Source organism: Homo sapiens, chromosome 3, assembly GCF_000001405.40.
Source record: "Homo sapiens chromosome 3, GRCh38.p14 Primary Assembly".
In the NCBI taxonomy this organism is placed as follows: Eukaryota; Metazoa; Chordata; class Mammalia; order Primates; family Hominidae; genus Homo; species Homo sapiens.
The window spans coordinates 150919959-150942215 of NC_000003.12; the positions used below are offsets into that span (position 1 = coordinate 150919959).

Here is a 22257-nt window from a genome sequence, read left to right on the forward strand (position 1 = left end):
CAACAGAAAGGAGGATTGAAATTGGCCCATAGTCATTCAACTTAGTAAGTGCTCAGCACATGTTAGGCATTGTTCTAGGGAAGAAGATTTAGCAGTGGACAAAACAATTTATGTGACGTAAAAGCATTTTGAGAATTGGGTTATAATTTACTTACATTTTTTCTTATTCTCATGTAACTTTAGTATTGTATGATGGGAAGATCTGGATTTGTAAAATTTGTATCCCTTGCTCTAAAAAACTTAAAGCAGCTTACAAAGGTGTATGTGATTCTTGGAAAGATTATAAATTAGGAGTTGAAAAGATAGATGAGTAAGAAAAAAATGGAATAAAAAGCATCAGAACCCACCTGAGCCAGGAATAAATCTAGTTCCCAATACACAAAAGACACCCATGAAATTCTAGATACTGCCATGGGTGAGCCACAGAAGTCACCTCAGGCTTTGCAGTGACTAATCCACAGTGAGTGATGATATGATCCATTAGGACAAACATGTAACAACAAAAACAAAACCCTTCTTTGGCAGAACAGCCAATCCTGATACTGAGACCGGAAGGAAATGTTTCTAAGAATCCTTCAGAATCAGGATACTCTGTGGCGGTGCTGCAGGACTACATCATGAGCAAAATGCCACTCATGAGGCTGGAAGAGGTGTCACTTTGAGTTCAGCAATTGAATCTTTCTGAATTGATATTGAGTCTCCAGAAAATAATGAGGGACAAGTATGCCATGATATAAGTGAGTCTCTACATTTGTGTGGCAAAGACATTGCACATGTCTCCTGAGCAAAAGAATGTATTGTGATTCACAGAACAGCTGGGGGTAAGGCAAGAGGGGAGAAGGTGGCTTGATGTCTGTGTCTTACAGAGAAATGTGAGTTTGTAAATTTGATCAGAATAATCTCAGCTCAGCCCAGTTGGTTTGCCCTGTTCCTTATATATGTGTGGGTTTGGCCATAGGTCTGCTATAATGTGGGTGAGGGAAGACCAGGGAAAGAATGAAAACCCATGTTAGAATAGAAGAGACATCTAGAAATATTAATAAAACTGCTTTGTCTACTCACTAGAAACCATCTAGAGTGTTTTTGTTTTAAATTAAGGAAGTATCAGTCACTCAACTGATATATTGAAGAATGAGATACACAGAAAAAATTTAAACCCTATGGAAAAATCTCAATGTCTTTCTCTGATTTTATAAAACAATAAAATGGGTTAGAAATTGGGAAGACAATTTGGTCAGTCATTATAAGGCATAAAACTGTATGTAAAGACTCCTATAAATGTTAATGTATAGGATGCAGAATCACATTTTTATTTTACCAATCATGATGGACAGTTTTGGGGTATCTGCCAAGCTCACATCCTCTTCTGGGAGACCCCCCTAACACACACACGTGCACACAGGCACACACGTGCACACACACACACACACCCCTGCATGTGCACGCACACACGTACTGTGCACCCAGGCCCTGCAGCCATGACTCATCCCTCCCTCACTTCAGTTGTGTGGAGCAAGGGTGGGCACCTGATCAAGGAGAACTGATTCAGAACTGGGCAGGACCATTCTGATTCTCCTTCCCTACCTGGAATTTGGAAATGGGCAACAGAGATTGAAGGATTGGAAGCTGGTGCTGAATCTAGGGCATTAATGTAGGCCTCAAGCTGAAGAGAGTTTTTTTCCCCTCATGCTTTGAAAACGCACAGAAATCTGGTAGGCAGAGAGAGAAGTGAATTGTTCAGAGGCACAAAGTAAAACAGGGGCCAGAACTATGTGGTCTTAGACACACACACACACACAGACACACACACACACACACATTCATACATTCACACCCGCATGCATGCCAGCCAGACACACACACACACACAGACACACACACACACTCATACATTCACACCCGCATGCATGCCATGCCAACACAATGGTGAAGCGAGGAATGGGAGGGAAGGGAAGTTTGTTTCTACTGACTTTCCAACTCCCGGATCCACCCCTTCGTGAGGTCTGAATGTGCTTACTGCCCTAGTATCCTAGTGCCACGGGAGATGCTGCTGTATCTTTGCACTGGATCTCTAATTCTCATTCTCTCTCTCTTTGTTTAGGATGGTTTAGGTAGATTTTTTTTTCTCATGTTAAATGCTTCCTGACCGAAACATTAAGTAAAATAGGAAGCCTTTCCTTTGTGGTAAAGGACAGAGAGGTAATTGACAGGACATGCATGCATTTTGTATTTTTTTATATTTACGTATTTTTCAAAGGACATAAGCATATTGTGTGGGGTGGAGGGCATCTGTGAAGTTTGTTAAATGCTTAGAAAAAATCAGAAGGAGTTTCCAGTTGAGAGTTACTGTGTGCGGTGAAAGGATATTTCACTGGTTCTTTTGGATATGCTCTCGTGCTCCCCTGTGCTTGTTTTGCTTCCCTTATACTCCAGAAACCTCTGCTTAGTCCAGGTAACTGCTCATCAGCTTTGGGGAGAAGTGGGTGACTCTGGATCCAGGGAACAAAAGTGATTTTTAAGTTCAATAGTCACTAGTTTAGGTTTAAAATAGTGACATTCTTGCAGGATAAGCTAGAAAATACCAAGGGCTGGAGATGGGCAGAAATTTAAGAGGAGGTACTCCTAGAATAAATCTAGAATCTCTGCTAGAACAAGTACCATCGTTTTCCAGCACTAGAGGACGTTGGGGAAACTGAGTCAGCGCCCAATGCCTTCTCATTTCTGCCCAGGAGACGACCAAGTTGATAGCATGGAGCAGGTCTCTTCGCCACCAACCAGCAGGAAAAGCATTTCTCTGGACCTCAACATGTAGTCTGACGCAGGACTGCGGAAAATTCCTCATCTGAATGCCCCGCCCCTTAGGGAGGAGGGAGCAGCCACGCCTCCTAGAGGGAACCCTCCCAGATCTGGATGGTGATGGAAGCCTCCCTCCTATCTCCCAGTCGCTCTTCTTGATACATTCTTTTTAAGTTTTTTTTCAGTATTATTTAATTAAGTAACAGAGTTCTTATAGCATTTTGTGAAAACTGAAACTCTAGGATAATTTTTTTTTTAAATGATTTCCTTTGTTACAAAATTTCATCAGATTTTCCTATTATGGGTAAACTTAAAAAGCCTTTTCTTAATACTATACTGAAGTTTTAAACAGAAACTAAAGATAGAAAGTTTTAGAGGATATTATTCTCTGCTCTCAGCCAAAAATCAAGAAAAAAATGTATTCTTACCCTTTTTACATTAGCCATCCCAATATTTGGTGCCTTACACACAGCTACATCTGTAGGAGATGCAAGATAGATCCTTTTTGAATAATGAAAAAGGGTTTATTAACCCATATTTGGAAAGAATCTTGAAGGACAGCAGCATAAGCAAAAGTGTTTATTTACTCTTTAGTTATTGATGTAGACAATTCACTCTCCGGTCTTCATTTCAGTGGGTGATGGGTAATGTGACCAGAGGGCCACAAAGGACAGAGGCACAGAGAGGAGCAAGTGGAGACGGTGCAAGGTGCACTGGCATAGACTGTGCCTTGGGAGCCCTAGAGAAGCATCTCCCTGGCAGGCAGCAGAAGAGCTTTCTTGGAGAATGGGTTCCTGTTTGCTAGGCTAGGCTAAATTAGACTAAGCTACAGTCACAATCACCAAAAATCAGTGGCTTTACAGAGAAAGTTTATTTACTACTCTTGTACTCTAGTGCAGGGCAGGAGGCCCGCCCCAGTTTTGCAGCCTTCCGTCTGGATCTCACAGATTCCAAGGCTGCATGCAGCACCAGAAGAAGAGAGAGCTGGAGGATTGCATGGGATGTTTTTCAGGGCCAGGCCTGAAAATGGCACAGGTCACTTCAACCAACATGTCATTGGTACAGCCACACTCACATGGCCCCAACTCCAAAGGAGACTGGGAAATGTACTTTAGCTGTTTAACTGTGCTCCAGAGAAGAGGAAACTGGTGAAGAGCACATCGAATTTCCATGGGTGAAAGGGTGACTGCAGAGGAGTAGGGCAAAGGGGGCAGCTATATGGCAGCAAATGAAAGTCTATACAGCTGATTCTCTTGGAGCTTCTGGCCTGGGATGTGCAGCAGACACCGTCCTTCCCTATATTAAGGCACACTATTCATTACACTTGGCTAAATAGAAAGATGGCAAATTTAAGTGCAAATCAGACAGCCATGGCATCCCGGAATCCACACCTCTGGATTAGCTATGCTACCCTTTTTTGCAAAGTTCATGATAAATTGGAACCTGAGGAGAGTGCAACAACAGGGTGGCAGATGTCGTGCCCTGAAATTGCACGTTTCTGGTAGGGCACTGGCTTAGATTACTTGAGGGGCCCAAGCCTCCTCCTCTGCGAACCCACTGACAAACTATACCAGAGGAGGGAGAGAGAGAACACCGCTAGCAGGAATTCCCAAGTCTCTCACTCTTCTCTTCAGTCGGGTTCGTGGCTCACAGAGGGAAGAGTGGACTTTTGCTGAATGAGGGGTGCACAAACTTGTAACTCATTCTGTCTACTGCTTTCAGAGTGGGTCAAAATCCCTCAGACCAAGATTCAAGCAAAGAAACAATCTCTTAAGACACTTGCCTTTTAACTGCACCATAGCTCACCCTCACCTCACTTCCACCCTGGGGTCTCTATAACTATTGCCTGATACTGTCCGGTAGGACTGGCAGGGGAGAGTCTGGAGATTTCTGACTTGGGTCTTTGGACTTTCCACATAAGCTAGTAAATCCCAGCTCTGAGCTGTGACACCCATGGATGTGTCTGGTTGCCTTGGTGGGAATTTATCACTAAGTCTGTAAATCAAAATATAATTTAATTTGGTTTACATCAGTATTTACAGGAGCAAGAGGGCTTTTTCCAAGGGGGGATTTTGGCCCACAAGCAGAAACCCCAGTCCCGCCCAGTCTTTCTGTCTGCCCTTTAAATTGACCAGCATTGCTGTGTCCCTTGTCACTGATGGTGGTGGCCCATCAGCCCTGAGCCGGGACCAACTGCCACGTTGATGGGGCTTGAAAATGGGCATGTCTCTAGAGCAGACACTGAGCACTGAACTAGTACAGGCCCCAGGATATGTAAATAGAAGGGATGAGGGGCAGCAAGGCCGTTAGAGAAACACGGCCGGGCTTTGGCCTGGTCTTGAAGCAGCATTTCTATTATAACAGATGCACTGTTTTAACTACACTGGATCTTATTGGAAGGGGAGAGGGTGAGGAAAATCGAGAGGGAAGTTAATCCTCCCCCCACCCCCGCCCCACTTTCCACCCTCTGGAGTCTACGCCTCTGTTCTCATTCAGGTTTCTCTAGGTAAATGATTGGGACAAATATCCATTCTAGCAGCAAGCCACGCTTACCTTGGAGCTGGTGCACCCTACCGCTGCCAGAGTGCACCCTCTGTCTCCACCAGGGTTAAGAAGGGGTGGTGGTCTCCCTCTCCTAGCCTCTTGCCAGGTAAAGGGGCAAGAGGGAGAGGAGAATAATAGCACTGTCCCTTGCCTTGATTGTGTACACGTATGATACTCTGGCCTCATTGAGGGGCCCTGAATACCTGGAATGTGACACGGAAGCAGCTTCCCTGGAGGAACAGATGCGACCGCAAGAGCAAAAGACCTCTGCCAACTGTAAGACGCCCGGATGTAAGGAGTGCCCCTCCTCTTCATTCTAATGCACCATCTGCATCTGTTTTCGCTTCATTCTGAAGCTTGCTCCTCTTCCGGTGAACACGTCTTGCCTTGGCTGGGTCCACCTGGACAAACCTAGGGTGATGTTCATACATTCTTCTTGCCATTCTTTCTGGCAGCATCATCAGCACTGATGTTCTCACTGATGACATGAAGGTGTCTGAGACAATTAAACAGGCTCCCCACCTGGCATGGTGTTCGCCTCCCCAGGGCCAGCAGGGGGCCCCGCGACCTTGTGAGAAGGCTAGCTGCCACCTGGGGAAGGAGGGCGGGTCCCAGCAAAACGAATGTCATTCCCGGGGCCTTTGATTCCCACCGAGTGGGAGCCGCCTATGAGCGTCCTGGCCAGACCCTTCTTCTAAGGGCTCCCCATAGGCCTGGGGACTATGCGTTTCATCTGCGAGAAGAGAGGGAGACCGGTGCTGCTGGTGCCGGGTTGTTTCCTGCTTTATTTTGTGTGCGGTGTGCTCTGCAGGGACCTTTTGAGTGTCTGTCACAGCCCTGCTTCTCCTTTCCAGCCAGGGAACATGGTGGGTTTGCCTCTTAGTTCCTCATTAGATTTTTCAGCAGCTGCTCCAGGTTTTCTTTCTCTTTCTACGGAACAGAGAACGATTGGAGACTTGTTTTCTAAAGAAAAAAGCCTGGTGTTCGAAGGAGTTTTTCAAAACTCCAAGAAGACAGAGAGGAATCCAATAAGAGTGCAGGGGGTACCTGGCCTTGGGGACCTCCAACCAACTCCTCACGCAGGAGACGGTCCTTGTCCTCCTAGCCCACTCATTTCCAGTGCTTTTGTACTGGACCATTTCAGCTAAAGACTTACAGAACCGGGCTCTAGCCTGTTACCAAAAAAAAAAAATCCCCTTTGTGGCTAGACTGAATTGTAGTCTTCTAGAAATTGTCCAGGTGTATTTCCTGATTTAAGGGGAAAAACCAGCATCTGGAAACTCGGTGTGTTCTGATGTCTGCTGGCGAATAGCGAATTGACACCAGAGCAAGTTATTTCTCAGGTATACGGTTGTTTCATCCTTGTAAATAGTTCCAAAGGGAAACAGTGTTTTATTTTAAGGAGTACTTTCAAACCTATTATATGAGGGCTGCTGAGTACTCAGCACCTGTGGTCAGAGGCCTAGTGATCTGTTTGCTGTCATTCTCTGCTTTTTCCTTGGTGCTTTCTGGAGGACAGCAGGTTGAGGATGAAGGAAGGGTCAGTTCCAGGCTCAGCTGTGGCCTTTAGTCAGCTGCAGATCAATTTGATGGGTAATTCAGGGGAAAAAAAAAGTTGACCTGGGTCATGCTTGGTGACAGCCAGAACAAGACCAAGATGATACAGTGATACCGTCATAATCCCAGATTTAATATAATTTTCATAATTGCATATTAGTACTCGAGACACTATAGCTAGAAAAACAGCCCCTAATAAGTCATTTTGCATCAAATGTACTAAGCAGAGATCATTTTTCATGATTCCTCAGTGGTCCTAACAATTATGTTCATTGAAAGTACTGTCGTGAATGTAATTGGGACTCAGGCACGGGAGGAAAAATACCCTAAGCTTGGTTTTTTCTTCTTTTCTTCTTTTAGAGTTTGCAGATTTTGACCAACAGACATGGTTAATAAGACTATGCTTTTTTAAAGCCTATATTTTATATTTATTTTATTTTTTAATTTTGTTAGTGACAGGGTCTCACTTTATTGCCCAGGCTGTAACTCGAACTCCTGAACTCAAATGATCTTCCCACCTTGGCCTCCTGAAGTGCTGGAATTACAGGTGTGAGTCACCACGCCTGGCCTAAGAGTATACTTTAAACAAATTTTTTAAAATGTGTGTTGATACATTTTATAGATGTTCATTTAATACACTACTGTTTTAGGAAAGCGATTGCAGCTCAGTTTTCTGAAATCTGGCAACAAATGTGTGGATATATTAGAGATATTATTTGTTTTTATTAAAATATATTCCATGTGCCTTTGATATCTTTTTGATAGGAAGACATCTTACACACACACACACACACACACACACACATATATATATATGGAGTAACAATTTGTCGATTCTAGTCAACTGCCTTTGACTACCTGGGTCAAGCAATTTCCCACCAGATAAAACAACTTTTCAAAGCCTTCCTTCTGCTTCCCTTACTTTCCAGCCTGTATCCTTAGTACGTAATTTGTAAACATTGTCACGAAGGGTCCTGATGCTTTAATATATGCAGACTAAAAGGATATGCAAAATTAACCACATCTAAAAGTGACCAAAGCAAGTCTACTCCCTTGTAAAATTATAGAAAGGTTTGCCTTTCAGTACATTAGATCTGCAGCTACATTAGTTGTTTCTGCGTCTTTAGATTTTGCAAAAGGGAACTGAAATCCAGCAAGTCGTATTAGGAGCCCATTCAGAAAATGAACAAAAAAGCAAAAGAAAATGACCCAGAATGAGGTGGTATATTTTTCACTTTGCGTTTTGTAGACATAAGTCCCTTCTTTATAATTTGCAATTTTTTCTGAGAGGTGATGGATTTTCACTTCAGAGGCAAACAATATCATGACAAGACAGCCACAGGAGCCTGCAACAGAAGAAACAAGGTGTTGGGACAAATATTTCCTGATTGTAAGGGACAGGGAAGAGGGTCAATGTGTAAACCAAGGAATTCTCTTACCATCATCCCCATTGACATTATCCACACAAAAAATTATTGCATATTTGTAATCATGAGCCTGATTCTTCAGTCTCTAGGTGGTAGGGCTTGGGTTATGGTTCTGCTCTGAGTGAAGAAGATTTGTGTGTGCGTGTAGGAGTGCAGTGGGAGGTAAGGAGGTGGTTAGAATTAAGCTGATCTTACAAAGACTGGGAGATATTCCTCTTTGCATGATGTGAAGGCTGAATTGCTAGGCACTTTAAAGGCATAATGGTGGAATCAGGCTACAAAGCAGCCACTGCTATGATGTGGCTTCAAGAGAAAATATTTCTCTGTACTTCACAGGCCATGCAGGATAAATGTCAATCATGCAGCCTCTTGTGAAAGGCCCCAGCCTCCCTTCAGAAGGGTTACCACAGCTCCTTCAGCTTTCACTTGGCCACAGCTGCACAAAGGAAAAGGTAGCTATGGATGAGGTATTGAGGTGGCGCACATCTCTATTCTCCTTGTTTGTAACAGAATTCAGATTTTTGGCTAGACATGTGAGTGTCTTGAATTAAGACAGCATTGTTCAACTAAGGGTGGTTGGGAAGTATGGGCGGGATAGTCTTCTTGAACTATACAGGTATTAGGGGCCTGTCCTTTCTTCCCCACTTCCTCCTTCCTGTGGCTGAAATATGGATGCAATGGCTGGAGCCCCAGCATACATTTTGGACCAATGTGGCCCCAGAAATGGAAGCCATATGCTGTGGAAAAACAAGAAAGAGGGAGTCTAAATCCCAGATCCTTGGAGCCTCTGGACCAGCCCTGGACTTCAACCTCTAGATTTTTATGTGTGAGAAAAATAAACATTTGTTTTGTTTAGTACACTATTATTATTTTTCCCCCTCATCTATCACTCATTGGTAGCCTAATTTTAACAGATGTAGCTGTGATTTCGGTGAGATTGCTGTGGGACAGGGGCACTCCATACTGGCTGGAAGCTGGAAACTCTGGTGAGTGTCTCCCCCGAAGATGGACACTGGGAGACTTCCAGATGGGTGGATGGCACAGGGAGCAGAAGCAGGTGGCAGGAGGGACCAGATCAGGAGCACATAGGATGGCCAGGACTCTACAGCGCTTCCACAGCTACTGTTATATCTCAGGCCACCACAATAGGGTTCCAGTTAATAGGAGACTTGCTGGGATGGTTTTCTACCTTAGGTGAAACCAATTTGGGTTCAAACCCTGATTCCTTTACTTACTATGTAAAAGTAGGCAATTTTAATATTCAGGTCTCAATTTCTTCATCTATAAAAGGTGGCTAATATAAATAAAGCATGATTTGCATTTGGCTTTGTAATTGACACATATAAATGCTTACTAATTGGTAGCTATTCATATGGTTTTTATGGATTCCTTTTTTCTTGCAAGTCCTTATCATAATAGCTTGATTTAGGTCAAACCAATTTGGTTTCAAATCCTGATTCCTCCACTTACAATGTCAAATTAGGTATTTTATTTCAAATCCTCAGCCCACCCCATATCAGGGACACCTGACTACATCAGGGTAGGCAACACAAAAGAATGTATTACAGTGTCTTTTTTTTCTCCAAATACTCTCCCACTAATTTTATGTCTCCTTTAGGACAGGTAAATGCTTTTTACTCTTCAGTTAAAGTTAATCCAAATATCCTAGGAGTGGCAACATAATGGCTTGAGTTTCTATTCATTAATTCACTCATTCATTTATTCTCTAGACTTATATGGGGGATAGTTGTGGAGATTTAAACATTAAAGATAATACTCATGATTTTTGCTCTCATGGAGTATAATTTGGCAGAGGACATAAAATCAATTACTAACCAATTACAGTGCATGTAATCAAGGGATAGTAGAGGGGCTGTTACTGAGAGGGTGGGCAGCATTATGGAAGGTTCCTTAGAAGTAGCCAGAAGGAGCTATAGGAAAAGTTAGCTGAGCAGAGGGAGGCTGGACTGTGGGGGGAGAGTACTGCAGGCAGGAGGAGCTACGGTGCAAGTGACAGCCCCCATTCCTTTCCCAAAGGTCAGGCTGGGTTTGGGGTAGAGGCAGAGATTTGGGGGTAGGAATGAGGGGAGAGGTGAGCAGAAAAGACAACATCACATTTCTTCTACTTTAGAATTTCACATAGGACTGGCCAATCAGCTTAATCATCATCAAATAATCAAATAATATAATTTTCTTGAAATTTCACTTTCTACCATCCTCAGAGTGGTAGCTGAGAATATTCCTTTGTAAAATTTTGTCAGCCTATTTTTGTATTCTGAGCTTAAAACCAGAGCTCTCCCCTGGCAAAACCGTATTATTTCTTTATTGTTAGATCCTAACAAAAAGGCTGCAGTGCTGTTTTCTCTTTATCTTTTATTCGAAAATTGTGGAGAAAATGCCATTCCTTTTACCATAAGAGCCTTCTTTGTCTGAGGAGATGGTGAATTTCAGACAGAAGTGAAACATTATTTCCTGAGCACCTGAAAGGAAAATTCAAGCTCGGTTTCCTTTTCAAGTTGTTAAATATTTCAAAGGTACTGCTTTGTTAAGGAGACAGCATTACAGCAAGGCTGTATTTCAAATTCCTAAAGTAAAAGTTACTTGGGGTGTCATAAGACTCAAAGCCTTTTGCCATAGCTAATATTTCAAGCACACAGCCCCCAAAACAAAGTGTGCTGTCTGGTAGTAGAGAGGACAGTCTGAGATCTTGCTCTGGATTCTAGGGTTGATCACGAGGTCAACGTTGTCGTTTCAGGGACAGAGGATAGAAACCCAGCCTGAGTCTCATAACCTTTCAGTGACTGCTAAGAGATATGAAGGGAGACAACTCAGTGTGAACTTGGTATATTTTTGCTTCTCTCTGTCCATGGCTCTAAAAAAGACATGGGATCAAGGATAACTATTTATGACTTATGGACCAAAAGATATGCATGAAGAGTTTCTCTTTGTGGCATGGCTGCTAAGGCTATAAAAGAAGTGTGTAAGTGATATGAGTGATGTGAGAATAAGACTCAACCTACACTCTTCCAGTATGACCCTTTGAATCCAGCAAGAGGGGCTCCTGCTTTGTGCCCCACATTTAGAGGGTTCTGCTCTGTCTCTCTTCTGGAGAGGTTCCTTCCCACAGCATGAGGAATCCTTGAAGTCAATAGAACATACCCATCTGGCATGCCTGACTCACATTTTAGTCCATACTCCTGGGACCCCGGAATTGACTTCGTAAATAGCCCTGAGCCCATTTTCAAGACCTATGTGGTCATTTCTCCTGGGTCATTCCTCCCATGGTCAGAGGGTGGCTGAGGAATAGCTGTTTCAAGAGGCATGGTCAGAGCTTGGATACATGGTGCAATGTCCACACACCTATGCTTGAGGCTCTTTACTGTGTGCAGTGGAGCCAGGCAGGGGAAGAGAAGTGGGTTTTCATTCATACTCTTGCCCAAGACTTCACAAACGGTAGGATCAGTCCTACATGTCTCTCTCCTCTTTTTCCCAGTTATCCATGTACACCAAGAGCCCAAATTCACACGGTGCCAGTTGGACAGATTCCTTATGTGTCTGTCTATCTGACCAACACTGCTCCTGCTCCCAAGAAAGGTTAGAATAAGCCAGGACTGTGGAAATCCTGCCAAACCTTGCTGGAGCTATAATGTGGAGTATAACCAGGCACAAGGCCCAGGTTTTGCTGCCCAGTGTCTTACTCAATGACCTACAGCCATTTTTCCTTTCATCTGTCTGATTTCCCCACCATCTGTCTGGTACTGTAGGTTTTTTTTTTCTTCCTTTTAATGACTTTGATTACTGAGTTAATTTCTGACTGAATAGGATAGCTGAGTTATAGGGCTGTCACACCATGAATGATCAGTCAATTAACAAACGTTTGTAATGTGCTAGACACTGCACATTCATGACTCTCCTCTGACAGCTGTCTGAGACTGCAGAATTGAGCACTGGTCTCCTCCAGTCCTTACTATATGGGGAACGTAGGACATGGCCAATGAGGGTTGCTTCTTCATCCCTGAATGACTCTGAGGGCACCTGTGCTTTTATGAGTGGGAACTCCCTGCCAGGATCTGTGGGAGTCCAGAGGTCCTATGGGTTTGGCTCCTCGAAGGGGAAGAAATCTCTGAAATGTTATGAAATGTTATCCTATGATCAGTAAGATCATATTTTTGGAAATAATAAACTGGAATTTCAATTCCATTTAAAGTAATGATCAGCATTTTCAGAAAGCTTTCAACACATCATCTTCAATTGTCTTATAGGTGACAGATATTAGGGGCATTTCATTGCCAATATAGAATGATAAATTGATAATTTCCTTTTCAAGGAATATTGAGAGATGATAAATAGGTGTGGGAAAGCCACAACTTTACAAGTGTAGGTGTTAATTTTCTCTAAAATTATGTAAATGTCACTAGAAAGTTAGTAATTGAAAGTAAGGTCACCAGCAATGATTTCTTCCCCAAATAGAAGTTGTTCTGACTCTACACTGCTCCAGAGACCGATGGCTACCATCTAAAAAGGGACAGAGGGACAAGTGAAGTGAGTTAATACCAAAGGGTAGATTTTGAGATTGTGATGGCAAGCAATTTGGTCATGTGTTTCCAAAGGATAGATGTAGATGAAGGAATAACACCATTGGGTCTAGCCTTTTCACTTTATCTTCTGTAATGGAAAGTTGAAGAGCCCATATCTAACCTAAGTTTTACAAATGTTATATTATTGAGAAGGATGATTAATGCAAAGAAGAAATGGTCTAAAAATACAATGTTTATCTAATTTGAATTTATTTTCGGAAATATGTCTGAAAATATGACATTTTCAGAAGAATATCATTTGTTACCAGAAAATATGCAGCTACTTCTGTTTTATTCACTTATTCAACAACTATTTATTGAGTGCCTGTTGCGCTGTTGTGGGAACTGGGGGTACAGCACTAAATGAAACAGGTACAAATCCTTTTCTTCACAGAGCTCTCAGTGATGGAGACAATGGAAAGGGAGAGAGAGGCAATAACTTGATAAGTACATTCAATGGTTTATCAGAGTGTGATATATATTAAGGAGAATAAAATAAAGCAGAGAGGGGGGATAGGAAGGCTGGGGAGGGATGGCCAGGGGAGGCCTCATAGGGAATATAACATTTAAGTGTATCTTGAGAGAAGTGAGGGAGTGAGAAGGTAGATATTTGGAGGAAGATTATTTCAGGCTGAAGGAAGAGTGAATGCAAAGGAAGTAGGTGGTTTGAGTGAAGAGGGGAGGAAGGTAAGGGATAGAAAGAGGTGAGCTGTCTGTGTGTGTTTCTGAAGTGGATACATCAAGTGGTGCTTTGGAGGTCAAAGCAAGGACTTGGGTTGTGACTGTAAATGAAACAGAAGAGAAGACGTACATTCTGAGTAGGATAAGAATCTCTTTGCAACTGTGATAGAAAATGATTAAGCATTTCCTTGCACAAGGTCATAGCTGGGCCATGTACAAAATAAATGAAACACAGTCCTCCTACCACACCCTGGACATGAATGACCTGGAATGTGATTCCTCACAACACTGCCCCTTTAGCCACTGCCCTGCATATGAGAATGAAATTCTTTGCCCATTGCCAACATCAGCTGTCTAACATTACTTCTCTTTTCCTTCTGTGGCCTCTTTTCTAAGTTCTATGCTGAGAAACTAGCAGAATACATTCATTACTGGGTTTTCCTGCCACAAATCCTTTATTCTTCCTCAGGCTCTGCGGCTTTGATGACTGGACATCCCTGTGTCTCTTTCTCGAACTCCTGAAAAACAGCTCCTTCATAAGGATTGGCGTAGAGATAAGATGCAGATTTTTTTTCACCACCAATTACAGAATAATGTGCCCCAGACATATTTCAGAGTCCAGGGTATTATTCATACTGAAACTGATATATAATGTAACTGTTCTGTTTTTGAACTGTTCTTTATTTTATTGTCTTTGTGTATATGAATGTGCTTATGTTCCATGCCATAGCTGTAATTATCATAATTAATTAGGCCCATACTAGGAGCGTCCTCTTTTTAAAGAAAGGCAGCAATTTTGTTTGCCCTGCTTGGCATAACTCATAGCAGACACTATATGTAAGAGAAGGCATAACTCATGACGCTATGTGTAAGAGAAGCTATATGTAAGAAAGCCTATATATAAGAGAATAATTATAATCATTGCAAATGGTAACAAATACAATTTGCAATAAGTCCACATTTTGGTGGTTTTTATCACCTCCAAAAGGCCTGAACCAATACCTTTCATGTCATTCTCAGAGAGTATTCACAGAACTGCTAGGATGTTCTACCACTGATCCATGTCAAGTCTGCCAGCTGGCCTACTCCCTTTTACATGCAGATCTAGGTAAGACCCTCTCCCATCAACTGGGAAACACCTAGAATGGAATATATAAAAGGCCCCCACTCAAATATCACTGCCGCAACTAAAAACTATGAATCTAATTGCTTCTATACTCAGCTCCCTCTTTTTTGGTTCTCTCTCTTCCTCTACCTCCTTAAGTTCTCTCTCTCTCTTTCTCTTTCTCTCTCTCTGTCTCTCTCTTCCACTGTATTATAAATCTTGAGGGAAGCTTTTTCACCCCCTTTTCCCTATTCTGCCTTCTCCTGCCCGCACCTCTATTACAGGAGGCCACCTTTACACAAAGCTCACTGCTGATGGTAATCTTGAAACATTCCCTCTGGGACACTCATAATCTCCCAGTTTTCCTTTTTCCTCTTTTTCTTTGGATATTGCTACTCAGTGTCGTTTGCTGGCTTCTCCTCCTCCTAAACCAAAAAATTAACTGTCAGTGTTCTTCAGGAATTGGTCCTACATCAATTTTTGTTTTTTTATTTTATTTTATTTTATTATTATTATACTTTAAGTTTTAGGGTACGTGTGCTCAATGTGCAGGTTAGGTACATATGTATACATGTGCCATGCTGGTGTGCTGCACCCAATAACTCGTCATTTAGCATTAGGTATATCTCCTAATGCTATCCCTCCCCCCTCTTCCCACCCCACAACAGTCCCCAGTGTGTGATGTTCCCCTTCCCGTGTCCATGTGTTCTCATCGTTCAATTCCCACCTATGGGTGAGAACATGCGGTGTTTGGTTTTTTGTCCTTGCGATAGTTTGCTGAGGATGATGGTTTCCAGCTTCATCCATGTCCCTACAAAGGACATGAACTCATCATTTTTTATGGCTGCATAGTATTCCATGGTGTATATGTGCCACATTTTCTTAATCCAGTCTATCATTGTTGGACATTTAGGTTGGTTCCAAGTCTTTGCTATTGTGAATAGTGCCGCAATAAACATACATGTGCATGTGTCTTTATAGCAGCATGATTTATAGTCCTTTGGGTATATACCCAGTAATGGGATGGCTGGGTCAAATGGTATTTCTAGTTCTAGATCCCTGAGGAATCGCCACAATGACTTCCCCAATGGTTGAACTAGTTTATAGTCCCACCAACAGTGTAAAAGTGTTCCTATTTCTCCAGATCCTCTCCAGCACCTGTTGTTTCCTGACTTTTTAATGATTGCCATTTGAACTGGTGTGAGATGGTATCTCATTGTGGTTTTGATTTGCATTTCTCTGATGGCCAGTGATGGTGAGCATTTTTTCATGTGTTTTTTGGCTGCATAAATGTCTTCTTTTGAGAAGTGTCTGTTCATGTCCTTCACCCACTTTTTGATGGGGTTGTTTGTTTTTTTCTTGTAAATTTGTTTGAGTTCACTGTAGATTCTGGATATTAGCCCTTTGTCAGATGAGTAGGTTGTGAAAATTTTCTTCCATTTTGTGGGTTGCCTGTTCACTCTGATTCTTTTGCTGTGCAGAAGCTCTTTAGTTTAATTAGATCCCATTTGTCAATTTTGGCTTTTGTTGACATTGCTTTTGGTGTTTTAGACATGAAGTGGTCCTAGGTCAGTTTTTATCTATGTGCATTCTCTCCCTAGGTGATCTCATCCAATTTTATTGCTTTACATAATATCTATATCCGAATAATGCCCAAATATACATCTTTCTTCTAGACCTCTTCACTGAACTCCAGATTCATGTAACTGACTATTTACTTGGCATCTCCACTTGGTGGTCTCATAGCAACTCAGACTCGATGTGCCCCAAATGGAACACATGATTTTAGTGCTGAGCTCTTCTCCCCACCCCTTTCTTGCCCTAAACTGCAAGCCTGCTCCTCCCTTGTCTTACCCAGAATGCCACCACTATTTATTAGTTGCATAAGCTACCTGAAAAACATTTTGAATGTACTTTCAGAATGTTTTTAGAATCCATTCATCTTTTTCCATCTCCAATGTGATGGTATTGTCTTTCACCAGACATTTCTTAGAGAGGTAAATCAGCTATCAGATATCTTTTTAAAATCTTTCAAAAGGTTTTCATTGCAATTAGAATCAATTCTAAAAGACTTACCATGGTTAATGTTTAGGGTCCAACATTAACTGGTATCAACTGATCTCTCTAACCTCATTTTTTCCTTGTGCCATTTCCCCTCACTACCCAGCACCTAGCCACATTGGCCTTCTTTCGGTTCCTACAACAAGCAGACCTCTTTCCCTAGAGTCTTCAGTGTGCTTTCTCTTCTACTTGGGACGTTCTGTGAAGGTTCTCAGTTCCTTCTTAGCTTTAGAACTCAGCTATTGGAGCAGTCTTCCCTGACCACCATCTCAAAGCCAGATCTCTGCTATCTTTCTCTTTCATAGCAACTTGTTTATCACCCTCATTGTAATTATTGCAAACTGTAATCACTTAATTATTTATGTACACTTTTGAAATTAGATGAGATTTTTAAAAGGTGTCTGATAGATGATTTACCTCTTTAAGAAATGTCTGGTGAAAGGCAATACTATTGTATATTATAGCAACCTGTTTATCACCCTTATTGTAATTATTGCAATCTGTAATCACTTAATTATTGATATACACTTTTGTTTGACTCTCCCACTAGACAACAAGCTCCGTGAAGACAGCATTGTGTGCCTGATTCACTGTGGGATCACCAGTGCCTATTATAATGGCTGGCACATAATGGGCACTCAGTCAATGTTTGACAAATACGTGAAATATATTCACTTATATTGCAACCCTTAGCACTGGCTACAAATTAGAATGACTCCAGAGAGCTTAAGGTAAAATAGCAGTGCCCAAGCCCTACCCCACCAGAGACTATAATTTAATTAGTGTTGTGTGAGACCTGAGATCAGTAGTTTTAGAAAGTTCTTCAGATGATTCTAATGTACAGTCAAAGAAGCGAATCACTGCCCAAAATGAACTATGGGGGATGATGAAGGTATTACTAAAAACCTTGGGAAAAAGACTTCTCAGCATCAATTTATAAATGACAAGATGAGAAAGAGCAAATTGGCTGACTTGCATGGGTTTCATGCAACAATATTACATGGAGAATGCTGAGGAATACGAGCTAAACTGGAGGTTATGAGAGTGGAAGAAATGTCTGGTTCAAGAGGCAACAGAATATGAAGCCATAAGTATGAGCCAGCTGTGTGACTGAAGCCTTTGCTGGCCTGGTCCAATGGGTTGCTTTCTTTCCTTTTCTACCTGCAGGGTCTGGCATGCACCACATCGGGAGACATAAGGAGATGCCCATAGCAGTACTCTGGGCAGTGTGGAAAGGTCCAGATAGACAATTGGGAGGACTTCTTTTCCCTTCCCTTCCCTTTCCCCTTTCTACATGCCCCAGGATGCCAAGTCTTGGGTGCCCATCCAGCAGGGAAGTAGACAGTTGAAGAAATGACCATAGAATGACTTCAGCACAAGGAGCGGGGAAGCTTAGGGAACCTGAATGTGAGTAGGGAGGAGAAAAAGAGAAAAGAGGTCCAAGGAGGAAAGCATTTTTCTTCTCTGCTGACAGTGAGCACTGCCACCTGGGCAGCACACATTGGCAAGAGAAACAAGGGAAGAGAACCAGTCAGTGGAAGAGAGCTGACTTCTGGGGTCTCTTAATGGAATGTGACTCGTACGTGAAATAAAGGACCCCAATACAGTCTCTGGCCTCTGAGTGTGTGACGCATTGGCTCACACTTAGAATGTTTGGGATAAGGGCTACAAACCTACCCTTACACAATTGGGTCTTAGAGCCAGGGTCTGCATGGACATTACAACTGTGAATAAACACCTTCCAAAGTTCCAAGGGCTTCTGGGTACCATATGAGATTTAAGGGGAATGAGGAAGTCTGTGATTCCAAAGTGACCTGTTTATCCCCAGAGGTCACAAACTGCCAGTCCATCTGACCCTCAAACATGTTTTATTGTTGTAACGGTTTTTTTTTTAGTTATTGAACATTTTGATATTTCAAAATAAGTATTGGGGGCTTAGAAAAACACTGGGTGATCTAAAAACACTGGCCTTTATCCTCTGCAAGACACAGATCTGGAGCTGGCTCCTTCCCTTCCTTTCTCCCCTTCTCTTCCTTCCCTGATTCACAAACCTTTATTGAGCCCATGTTTTTACAACAAATTTGAAGGTGGGTGAGACAGAATAGAATGCAGGCACAGGTCCTGATCATTCCTGCATATATTTGTGTGCTCAGGTTCTCCTTGCATTAGGCCTGGCCAAAGGCAGAGATAGGATCTGGGATTTGGATTAAATTCTGTATTCTCTGAGTCATCTTGCTTTTCAAATGCTGTTAGTTTGGTCGTCTGTCAGAACTGTCAAATAATTTGTCTTCCAAGTGCGCTGTTCTTCAGAATTTCATTCAGAAGCTGGAGCGCTAGACGGCTGTTGCTGCTAATGAGCTGTTGTGTCTCACCTTCACTCCAGCTTTGCTTTTCTCTGCTTTATGATGCCAGGTCAAGACTCCCCAAACTAGTTCTGCCTTTTCAGCTGTTTTCTGTCAAACATGAGCACCAGGGGGAGAGAGAAGACGAGAAAAGAAAAGGGAGAAAGGCCCACACCTTCCACTTCACTTGTAGTTCTCCCTGGTGGCAGCAACTGGGGAGTTTCCAGCCCTTTCCCACACCCAGAAACCCCTCATGGTGTCCCAGTGCCAAGTCCTCAAGGTCTGAGACACAATGCTCTGGGGCCTCTCCTCAAGATTCTAGGTTCTGGCAATGCCAAACTCTTTTGTTGGTTCCCCCAAGCCCTAGGGGTGGTAGCTGCTTTCTGACATTACCATCTTGGAGTTACCTCGGAGTCTCTTTTTGTTTGTCAGTCCACCAACACCTGTTGAACCAACTACCTGTAGTTCAAACTTGAGCCAGCCTCAGAATCTCCTGAAGGGAGATTGTTAAAATACAGATGGCCATCTTCCCCCAGACCCCCAAGTTTCTGATTCAGTGGGTCTGGGGTAGGGCCTGAGAATTTGCTGCTTTATCAGGTTTCCAGATGATGCAGACGCTGCTCATCTGGGAACTCCAGTTTGAGAACCACTGCTTTACATTCCTTCTGTTAAAATTCTGTGTAATGGTCATCAGTAAAACAGCACACCACCCGGATCCACCTGTTTGGTTTTGGATGTTTGGTGAGCAGAAGTAATCCCAACTCTCTCTTCTCATCTGGACTTTCACATGTGATTGAATCACTTTCTCATTCAGTCTGCCCACACCCTGAGCCTGTGCTCTTGGCTCTTCAGCTCTGATTGCAAAGCCCTTGGCCTTTGTTTATGATATTCCATCCCTCTCCTCACTGGCTCATGTCCTATTGCTTCAAAGCGCCTGTTCTACCAGTTCCATGTCATCTGAATTCTGATTGCTGAAACCTGTTCTGTCTAAGTGACCAAGTTAACATCTCCTTTCTAGGCTTGCTGTTTCAAGTCAGCAAATTCATATTGAATTGTCTGCTGTGTACAGAGCTTCATGCTGAATGCTTTCGTTAGAGATACAAAGATGTAAAAGGCTTAGACTCTTCTGTTATAGGATAATCATCTGTACAATTTAAAACTGTATTATATACTTGTGACAAATCTAAAGAAAATATTAGCAGAATCTCCACTGGAGAGATCTACATTGGATGGGTGAATAATGTGATTAGCAGAATGTGGATGGGGTGAGACCCTAAGCAGTGTGCACAAGTAACAATGAACAGAGGCTACACTGCAAGTGACCTCCTGTTAACTACAGGCCTTTGTTTTATAGAGAGAGAGATCTATACACGTTTGTGGTTGGGGTTGAATTGTATGAGAGAAGGGAGTAGTGTCAAGAGCAAGAAAGTACCTTGAGCCTGGTGCCTGGTAGCTGGCAGCCAAAGGGCAACTTCAGGAGAAAAAGAAACAGTCGAATAGAGATTTTCATTACATTGTTTGCTTTGTGTGAGTTGTTATCGTTCTGTATCCCTCCATGAAACCATCAATAAAATTACTTGCCTCCCAGGAATCTGACAAAGTGTTGGATCTTTTTGCAAAGTTAGAATGGGGTGAAGTCAGAGATCTCCTACAGAACAGCTACATATAAATTATACACACATTTTTCATTTTCTCGTCTTTCTCCTTCTCCCACTTGCAGATAGTAAGCACCATTTGGCACAGACTGGGTTTTATATTCTTTTCCATCAGCCCTAGCTATTGAGTAGCACATGTTTATTGATGAACTAATTTCTGGCTTTAGAGTTTATCCTTGCCCAGATACACCTAGCATTAGGCTACACAAAGTGTCTACAGGCTTGAATATGGCTGCTCATATGTGGGCGGAACACTGGCCCTTTACTCTTTTTTGATGCCATTTATTTATTTTTATTATTATGTATAAATAATAGCACATTATTGAACACTAAGAAATATTGAAAAGTATGAGCAAAAATAAAAGTCCCCCATAGTGTCATGGGTCAGAGACAACCACGACCAACAGATTGGAGTCTGTATTGTCTGTCTGTCTGTCTATCTATCTATCTATCTATCTATCTATCTATCTCTTTCATATATATATATATATAGCCCCCATATATACATATATGTATTTTATATGTATATTCCCTATATTTTATATATATAATCAAATTAGGTTCACAATGTTTATATAAGTTTACATACTGCTTTTCCCATGTAACTTTTTGAGACAAGCGTTTATCCTCTTGATTACATCTTCAAAAATATAATTTAATGTCAGCATCACAGTTATTCATATAGATGTCCATAAAGTATTTATTGAATTCCCTACTGTTGAGCAAGTGTGGTATTTCCACACTTTTTGTTATTATGTATAATACTACAGTGTGCATCCATGTATATATGTTAAGATTATAACTTTATATTTAGGTAGACGGTCTTTTTGACATATTGAAAAGCACATTTGTCTTCAGAGGTAGAATTTTGTACTTACCTGAAATGAAGCTCAAAAGGTACAGCCCTAGGGGACCATGCAGAGTTTCAAAAGGTTTTCCAAAAGCATTGTACATGAAGAAGGCTGTCCCCACCATGGTTAACACAATAAGGATGGCAGAGAAGAGAATGACATTGACGTGGATGCTCACTGGGATTGCTTTGAGCAAATCTGGAAAAACTGAAGATAAGACAAAACTAGGGTTAGAAGAAGTTTCATTAGCAGTAGTCTGCAAGTATAATTTTAAAAATCAAATCTCTCTTTTTTAATTTCAAACATCACTAAAATCCTTCTGATGAATACATTCTCACTTACTAACTTATAAGGGGTTTACAAAAAGGTTTAAAGATAGGATCATTTTATAGAGTTTACCAGTAAAAATTAGCAAAGAGGAGATTTGAGGTAATTTATTTTCTGTGCTTGGTCATATGTAATGATTTAAACAAATAAGTTCTGGCTTTATAACCCAAATCTGTACATTTTAATAACCAAGCCTTTAATGACCTTTCTCGGTAGTCATTTAAAAAAATTTATCTTAACTTGCAATGATATTTTAAGTTTGGAGATATCTGGGGATATCTGGGGAGTTCAAATATTAGGAAGTTTTCATATTTACTTTGTTACAAAAAAATTG

General features: G+C 41.8%; 1 protein-coding gene across 5 annotated transcripts in view, besides 2 other annotated features; it reads right to left on the reverse strand.

The window, feature by feature from the left end:
- Window positions 1324-1618: an enhancer, noted in NCBI's record as "tiled region #9248; HepG2 Activating non-DNase unmatched - State 22:ReprW". NCBI's record gives its function as "activates a minimal TATA promoter and a strong SV40 promoter by Sharpr-MPRA in HepG2 cells {active_cell/tissue: HepG2}" and the evidence as "EXISTENCE:reporter gene assay evidence [ECO:0000049][PMID:27701403]".
- Window positions 5948-6448: an enhancer, noted in NCBI's record as "H3K4me1 hESC enhancer chr3:150643693-150644193 (GRCh37/hg19 assembly coordinates)". NCBI's record gives its function as "activates a minimal SCP1, AML or CMV promoter by ChIP-STARR-seq in naive H9 embryonic stem cells {active_cell/tissue: H9 hESC(naive)}" and the evidence as "EXISTENCE:reporter gene assay evidence [ECO:0000049][PMID:30033119]".
- Window positions 6205-22257, reverse strand: part of CLRN1 (clarin 1) — a 46837-nt gene continuing 30784 nt past the window's right edge. For 2 of the 5 annotated variants that reach the window (NR_046380.3, NM_001195794.1), the window contains 3 exons: window positions 21624-21803; window positions 20523-20561; window positions 6609-8243 (listed from right to left, as the gene is read on the reverse strand). Coding sequence is in view for 4 of the 5 variants with exons in the window: in NM_001195794.1 (NP_001182723.1) it covers window positions 7978-8243; window positions 20523-20561; window positions 21624-21803 (485 nt within the window). In the remaining variant the exon portion in view is untranslated. Of the gene's footprint in view, window positions 8244-20522; window positions 20562-21623; window positions 21804-22257 lie in introns of all 5 variants that reach the window. The other 3 variants (NM_174878.3, NM_001256819.2, NM_052995.2) reach the window with 2 other exon arrangements.